Here is an 8151-nt window from a genome sequence, read left to right as displayed (position 1 = left end):
AAACAAAGGATGTTAAAACAGTTATGATTCTCAAAGATCACGTTAAATACATTATGAATTTTTAGCTGGTCACCAATTTTGGTAAGAGGGCATAAATCAAATAGAAAAACCATGCATGGTCAAATGGAAGTTACTAAAATTCATTAAATATAAGATGATTTCTAATAAAGAATCGTTATTAGAATTACAAATTTTTATGTGCTTCTAAATTATTTGGACAAAGAAATAAATGCAACTGTATCACAGTTCTAACTGTGATACACAAACTGTATCACAATTCTAACGTAAAAATAGAATTCTATGCTTTCTTTCCTACCATCTCTTAAGGAAAAGGTAAATTCCTCCCTTCTAATACTAGTCACTTCATCCCATGTTTGCTGTAGAGTCCAACTTTTCCTACCATCTTAAGGATGCTGTTCCATCAATCATCACTGTGTATCTTCAATGAGTCCTTATCCACTGGACTTGTCTCTTTGGCATTAAAAAATACCTAAGGTTTTTCCTATCATAAGTCCCTCTCCATTCTACTTCCCCTTCTAGCTGCCATATACCTCTCTTCCTCTTCCTCATAGTCAGGGTGATAAACAGAGTTGTCAATACTCATCATTCACTCTCATGCACACTTCTCAACTCAAAGTAATCTAGCTTTTCCCCAAACCATTCTAGCAAAATGGCTTTCAGCAGGGTCAATAACCTAATAAACAACTGAAATGGGTGACCTTTCCAGTTCTTTTGGTCAATCTCTCAGTAGCATTTAATGCTTCACTATTTCTTTTCCTATCAACAAACAATTTTTTGCTTCTGTGACAACACTACTCAGATCTCCTACTATCTCTTTGGTTTCTTCTCAGGCTCTTCTGTGGACTTATTAAATCCTGACCTTTAAACATACTATGTTCTGTCCTCAGCCCACCATTGTCTCAACCTGAATCCTCTCACTAGGTGACTCATTTAAACCTATGGCTTCAACTGCTGCCTGAGGCTGACAACTCAAATGTATAACCTAAATCAGTTCTCACCCCTGAACTCCTGTCTTATGAGTCCAACAACCTAATGGAAATTTCCACACAGCTATCATACAGGCATCTCAAACTTCAACAGCAACTATTCTTCCTATATTCCCAATCTTGGTGAATGGTGAAGTAAAAGTCATCTTAAACTTCTCCTTCTCTGGATCTCTACATCTATTATCCTTATTATATCTTTTATCAAGTTATATTAATTCTGTCCAGTAAATATCTCATAAATCCATTCTCCCCTTGTTTGTATTGTTCTAACTACTATTTTAATTGCTTAAATTATGTGACAGCCTCCTGTATGGCTTTTCTGTTTCTTTACTCAGTGTCTCCAATCTATCTTCTATGATGTTCTCAGAGAAATGTTAAGATACAAACTGAACAATGTTATTCTCTTGTTTAACAATCTAATGGCTACTCATAGTCTGTAAGAAAATGTCTAAACAACTAGAATGCCACTTTTCTTGATCTAAGCGCTAAATTTATCTCCAGACTAATTTCTTCCCCATGTCCCTTTAAGAGCTTTTCCTTTGAGTCACATCCAATTATGTGCTGTTCCCTTAAAATGTCACGCTTTGTCATGCCTCCTTGTTTTTGTAGATACCGTTTTCTTTGCTTAGAACACCTTTTGTTTAATTTACTCTTATTTTTACTAGACTCAGGTCAGACATCATCTTTACCACATGAACTTCCCTGTGCTGGTTATTGTCCCCTCAAACCCCAAATCTGAGTTGAGACAGAAGTTCCCTTTCTAAGTGGCCATAGTAAGGTATTTAATAGTACTTATCATGCTGTAATTGTTAATTTACTTATCTTCTTTGGTTTATAAATCAGAGATAGCTATCTTTTAAACTCTGGACTGAGTGACAGCTATCTTTTTAACTCTGTTTAGAATGGAGTCTTTTGTGTATCTCTCTCTCTCTATATATATCATATTCAATTTGTTGACTAAATGAAGAATCATCATTGTTAAAATGCATGGCAACCTCAAATTTGTATACTATATATAAACAAGATAACTGTTTATTTGAAGCCAAGATTAGGGCAGTGTTGTTAAAAAGACTGATGGAGGAGGTGGGCAATTTGAGGAGAACAGAATTGATTTTCTTTTGCAGAAAAAAAATTAGGAGTTTAAATATAAACAAAAAATGTGGTTAATTAAAACTAACACAATTTTAAAAATTTATAGTATTCAAGTCTCTTTTTGTCATAGATATAGGGAGAGAAATAACAGTATATATATATATATATGTATATATACATATATATGTATGCATCTGTGTGTATATATACATATACACACACACACACAAACCCATACTGAGAGTCAGCGGTGGATGATAAACTGATGTAAGTGTGAACAGACGGAACTTCCTCATTTTTTTTACTATTCAGAAAATATCAAAGTAGTAAGTACACAAGTATTAATCTTTTATAAATCTGTAATTTGTTTTATCTAATTATGTCATTTTGAGTTTAGTTAATTTTCATAAGGCAGGATATGACTTTAAAGATCACAGGTACGGTAAGGTACTTCAAGGATTTTTTTTCTCTTGTTTAAACATTCTGGCTTTAAGTACTCAATGTCTAGAAAGTTAAGAGCTGAATCTACTTTCCAAAGCAAAACTTAATTATTTTTATTAGAAACTCCATGTTGAAAACTACCAAAAATTTTTTCACCTTGCAATTTATGCTTTTGTTAGTGGGCAAATTTAGAAGACAAATTTCCATTTAGGGGACAATTTGACATTTCTTTAAATAAGAGTTAGTGTCTTTTAGCTACTCAAGCTGCTAGAATATAGACTACAGTGTTCCATGAGCCCCTTTTATTAATTTATATTCACTCCTTAAGACAGTGAATCCCATAGTTCTCAGGAAATATAAGACAAACTTACCACAATTTGGTCTTCAGATGCAGTGGAGACACTACTGTCATCAAAATAGTACCATTTTCCATCATCTTTATTTTTTGCAAAAGCAGTATCTAATGAAAAAAATATAATCACTGTGACGAAAATGATCTTGGTTTTCTGGGGACTCCTCAAAACTCTATAATCATCTATATAAGGAATATCTATTAACACTGATAATCATCTATGAGGCTTATTTATTACATATTCAATTGATTCAAATGATTTCTAATTTCTACAATTAGATGCCAAAAATAATTTTCATGTAAGTTGAAACATTCTTTTTTCATCTCAGGAAAAAACAGATTATTTTTAAATTCACATAATAACACTAATGATAATAAATGGTAATTAACATTCATGTAGTGCTTACTGTGTACCAGGCATAGTGTTATGCACTTTACATGTATTGTCTCATAAAGAAGGTATTATCATTATTATTCTCCCCACCTGAGAGATGGGAAATTAAGGCATCAAAAGAAGGATAATTTACTCAAGGTACTATACTGTTAGCTAGCAGTTAGGATTTAAACCTAGATCTGTTTCTGACTTCATAGTTTGAAATTTCAACTTATTATTAAATTTTCTATGACGATTTCTTTTCTGATACCTCTACTCATTATGCTATAGTGTTTTTTTTTTTTTTTAACACCAGAATCTCTTTTAGTCTTTAACAAAAGTGTAGTCGGTCCTGTGCATACATGGGTTCTGCGTCCCTGAACCCAACCAACCACAGATCAAACATATTTGAGGAAAAAAAAAAATTCCACAAAGTCCTGAAGAGTAAAACTTGAATTTGCCACGTGCTGAGTACTATGTTCAATTTATGTGAATGAAGTGACGTGCAGGCATTGTATTAGGTATTATAAATAATCTACACATACAAGTATATGAGAGGATGTGGTTAGGTTATATGCAAATACTACAATATTTTACATAAGGAATTTGAACATCTGTGGTATCCACTGATACAAAGGGATGACTGTACACAGCAAGAAAAAGGCAAAAAGTGATTCATTAATCCACATAATTTTTAAAGATCTGCTTTATCTTTAAGTTAAAAAAATGCCCCTTTCCCCATCCCATGCCTTGTATAAACTACTCAATAACTGAAGAAATAAAGTTGCACAATGTTTCCAAAATAATTATATGTGGTCATTGTTTCTAAAAAGTGACACTTTGTAGGGTACGGCTTCTAAATAATTCTTCCCATCCTAAAGTAATTATTCTTCCCATTTGTATATAAATAAGAAATTGAGGTATTATCCTTAATAAGGCTGAAATCAAAGGGCAATATTCTCTTTCTATTAAGTTACCTGTTTGGATGATGTTCAGAGGGAATGGCAATACTTTGAAAGTAAGGTAAGCATTATCTTTGGTGAAACTCCACTGGCGGTCAGAAGATAATTCAAAAGACAAGCCAATCAACCGACCAGCCAACCAACCAACCAATCACAATAAAATAATGGTTTAAACTCTAAGTTGTTTGGTTAACAATTTTACTGAGTAACTACCATGTGGAAGAAATGTTTCATATTCTATCTGTTGTTGGTTCCCTCTCCTCAAATATCAACCATGGAGAGAAACCGTAGAAAGAGATGGAAGTTAGAGTCAAAGGAACTAACAAAAAAAAATTGAGAACCCTGTTCTCAATATATGAACTCAAGAATATTTGTGTGCATGCAACATGGCTGAAGAATGCGACAGAATGGATGGAGGCAGAAATGAGAAAACAATCTAGAAGAAAGCGTTTAAATTTCTTGCTTCAATTTTTGTCACAGAAATCAGCAATACTCAGGCTACCTGAATCAGAGTCTTATTGCTGTTTAAAAGTCCTGTTGGGCTAACAAAATATTTGACAACTAATATGACTGTACCCCATGAACTCTGGTTAAAAATCAGCCTTGGTGAGGAGTGGAAGGAAATAGCCATGGGATGAACAGCTTCCTTTGAGCACACTTTTCCCTATTTTCTCTCCTTCCAGCTACACAGGACCTCTGCTAAGCTGTTGCTGTGCATGCTGTATTGTTTCTTGACCTGTATCCTTTCTTAAATCTAAGTAAACCTGGTGCTGGGTGAATGCTTTTGCGTGCTGTGAGTTTGTTGATCTCAACCCAAGATCAGTGCAGAGCAGATGCTGCACTTAGATCTGTGTGATCTATAAGAGACACATTCAACAAAAAGGCACAGAGTTTGTAAATTAAATGATACCAAAAAGAAAGCTAGAGTAACACTTGTAATACCTAAAAAAAAAGGGGCAAAGAATGTCAAATCCTGGTGTTAAAAGGAACAGAGAAAGAAGAGCTACCCATTATGAACATAAGTATAATTATGCAAAATATTAATAACAACTAATAAAACTGCTGGGAGAAGCAGGTCAATCAACACTTTAGTAGGAGTCCTGACAAATTCCTCTCAGGAATAAAATGAACACAAAAAATAACCAGGGATAGTAATGGTTTGAATACACTTGATAAGCTTAAATTATCAGAGATATAAAGAACTCTGTATCTAAATGGGGAATGTATATTTTTTTCCAAGCATACACACGTTTAAGGAACTGACCATGTATTAAGACATGTTACAACTTTCGGACTCCTAAAGATTAATATAGACAATGCTCTCAACTGCTATGTAATAAAGGTAAGAATGAAGTGACAAAACTCTCTACATTTGAAAACTAAGCATATGATTAAATGACATTGTGCTAATTAGGAAATCATAAAGGAAATTAAAACATACATACAATTGAAAGATAATGAAAATCTGAAGTACAGCTAAAGCAGTACTTAGCAGAAATTTATAGCCTTTTAATTACAGCCTTCAATATAGGAGAAACAATGAAAAGCAAAGCTAAGCATTCAATTCAAGAAGTTGTAAGAAGAGTAACATAGAAACCCAAAGTAACAAGAGGAACCATACAATGAAGGGAAGGGAAGAAATCAATTAGACAGAATAAATACATACAAGCCAGGTGTCGTGGCATGCACCTGTAGTCCCTGATACTCAGGAGGCTGAGGTAGGAGGATCGCTTGAGCCCAGGAGTTCAAGACCAGCCTGGGCACCATGGTGAAACCCCACTGCTACTAAAAATACAAAAAAATTAGCTGGGTGTGGTGGCATGTGCCTGTAGTCCAGCTACTCGGGAGGCAAAGGTGGTAGGATCGCTTGAACCCAGGAGGTGGAGGTTGCAGTGAGCCAATATCATGCGACTGCACTCCAGCCTGGTGACAGAGAGAGAGCCAGTCTCAAAAAAAAAACGTATAGATAAAATAAAATATAATAATAATATAAAGTATAAATACATACAATAACAAAAATAAAAATTTAATAAGATGAAAAGTAATTCTTTGAAAAGACTAACAAGATAGAAATCTGGGAAGACTGATACTTTTTTTTTTTTTTGAGACAGAGTCTTGCTCTGTTGCCAGGCTGGAGTGCAGTGGTGTGATCTGGGCTCTCTGCAACCTCCGGCTCCCTGGTTCAAGTGATTCTCCTACCTCAGCCTCCCGAGTGGCTGGGATTACAGGCACGTGCCACCACACCCAACTAATTTTTGTATTTTTAGTACAGACAGGGTTTCACCATGTTGGCCAGGATGGTCTTGATCTCATGGCCTCATGATTCACCCGCCTCCACTTCCCAAAGTGTTGGGATCACAGGCGTGAGCCACTGTGCCTGGCCAGGAAGGTTGATTTAAAAAAAAAAGAGAAAAAGAATGAAAAAAGGACAAAAATAGTGTAATATAAGCATTATAAACAACAATTCTTAAATAAATTGAAAAACCTAAATGAAATGGATACATTTTTAGAAACAGAACATCAAAATATACAGAAAAGGAAAAAGAAAACTGAATAGACCAATATGCATGACATAAATAAAAACAATTATGGCTGCAAAGCCTAGATGGCTTTACAGGTTAATTCTACTAGACTTTGATGAACAGTTAATTCCTATATTGTACTAGCTGTTCCAAAAACCAGAAAAAGGATAAAGCATCTCAGCTTGTTTTATGACTCTAATCTTTATTCCAAACTAAGATAATGAAAATATAAAAAACTTACAAAACCATTTCACTTATGAATGAAATTGTAACAACCCTAAATAAATCTGACTGAATCCAACTGTGTGTCTAAAAATATATAATGATAAGTAGGATATATCCAAGGAATGTAAATACTGTTCAACAGAAAAATCAACTGCTTGCAGAGTGTCGAGTGTTAGAGCCATCCTGGGGGGTGGGGGGCAATCTGGCAACACTTACTCACTTAAACTCAGCAATTTCACTTTTGGGCACGCAGCCCAAATAAATTCTTACATACGATACCATAAACAATGGTTTATCAGTCTTACAGTGGTAGGAAGTGAAAGGGAATTTAGATGTCTATCATGAGGTAAGTGGAGAGATAAAATATGGCAGATGTAAATCATAAGCAGTGAGAAACAACTGACTAAATGGACACAAAGCAACACAGATAAGTCTTCATAAGTGTCGAGACCTAGTGATATCTACAGCACAGTACCAATTATATAAATGAATAAATATTAATGATTTACAAGAGTATATGCATCAAACATGTTAGAAAGCAAAGGGGAAGGAGAACGTGGAGGGAAATGCACTCTAAATGGGACAACATTCCCTACTAGGCCTTGAACTGAGGAGTATGATGAACTCAATTCTCTATACCCTATGTGAAAAAAAAAAGGTTCAAAAGCTGACTCATTCATTAATCAATACTGAACTACTATATGCAAGACACATCTGATATTTTATCCTTAAGAAGTAATAAATATCTTAAAGAAAAAAGTCTGGAGTTCTTCAAACACCATGATTTGGGTAAAAAGGCAAACTGTCAACTTACAGTGTCCTCCTCCCATCCCTCCATAGTGGTTGGAAACAGCAATCAGATTATAGCGGCAAGGACCTGCATTTGGATTAATTAAGAATTCCGACATATCCAAGTCACTGTTTAAAAAAGAAACCAAGTTAATTTTTATGTTGTCCCTAAATGCAATGAATTCTATTCCCTTCTGCCATTGTTGTTTGACATACATATATATATCTATATCTATCCATCTATATATATCTATCTATATATATATATATCTCACTAAGGAAATTATCATGAGTCAAATAACTTACAAAACAAATCATACATGTACCTCTGAGATATTAATGTTTTGGCAAACATTTGTTTATGGGTTGAAAATTTTAAAATGCTTCA

General features: G+C 34.3%; 1 protein-coding gene across 13 annotated transcripts in view, besides 1 other annotated feature; it reads right to left on the bottom strand.

Annotated features, from left to right (window-relative positions):
• USP15 (ubiquitin specific peptidase 15) overlaps positions 1-8151 on the bottom strand; it is a 155986-nt gene that overhangs the window by 12203 nt on the left and 135632 nt on the right. For all 13 annotated transcript variants that reach the window (NR_147078.2, NR_147079.2, NR_147082.2 and 10 more), the window contains 2 exons: positions 7789-7892; positions 2912-3000 (listed from right to left, as the gene is read on the bottom strand). Coding sequence is in view for 8 of the 13 variants with exons in the window: in NM_001351165.2 (NP_001338094.1) it covers positions 2912-3000; positions 7789-7892 (193 nt within the window). In the remaining 5 variants the exon portion in view is untranslated. The remainder of the gene's footprint in view (positions 1-2911; positions 3001-7788; positions 7893-8151) is intronic.
• Positions 7144-7438: a silencer, noted in NCBI's record as "tiled region #15489; K562 Repressive non-DNase unmatched - State 15:Elon". NCBI's record gives its function as "represses a minimal TATA promoter and a strong SV40 promoter by Sharpr-MPRA in K562 cells {active_cell/tissue: K562}" and the evidence as "EXISTENCE:reporter gene assay evidence [ECO:0000049][PMID:27701403]".

Source organism: Homo sapiens, chromosome 12 (genome assembly GCF_000001405.40).
Source record: "Homo sapiens chromosome 12, GRCh38.p14 Primary Assembly".
Classification (NCBI taxonomy): Eukaryota; Metazoa; Chordata; class Mammalia; order Primates; family Hominidae; genus Homo; species Homo sapiens.
The sequence above is the reverse complement of the archived record's forward strand: the minus strand, read 5'-3'. Positions and strand labels throughout refer to the sequence as shown.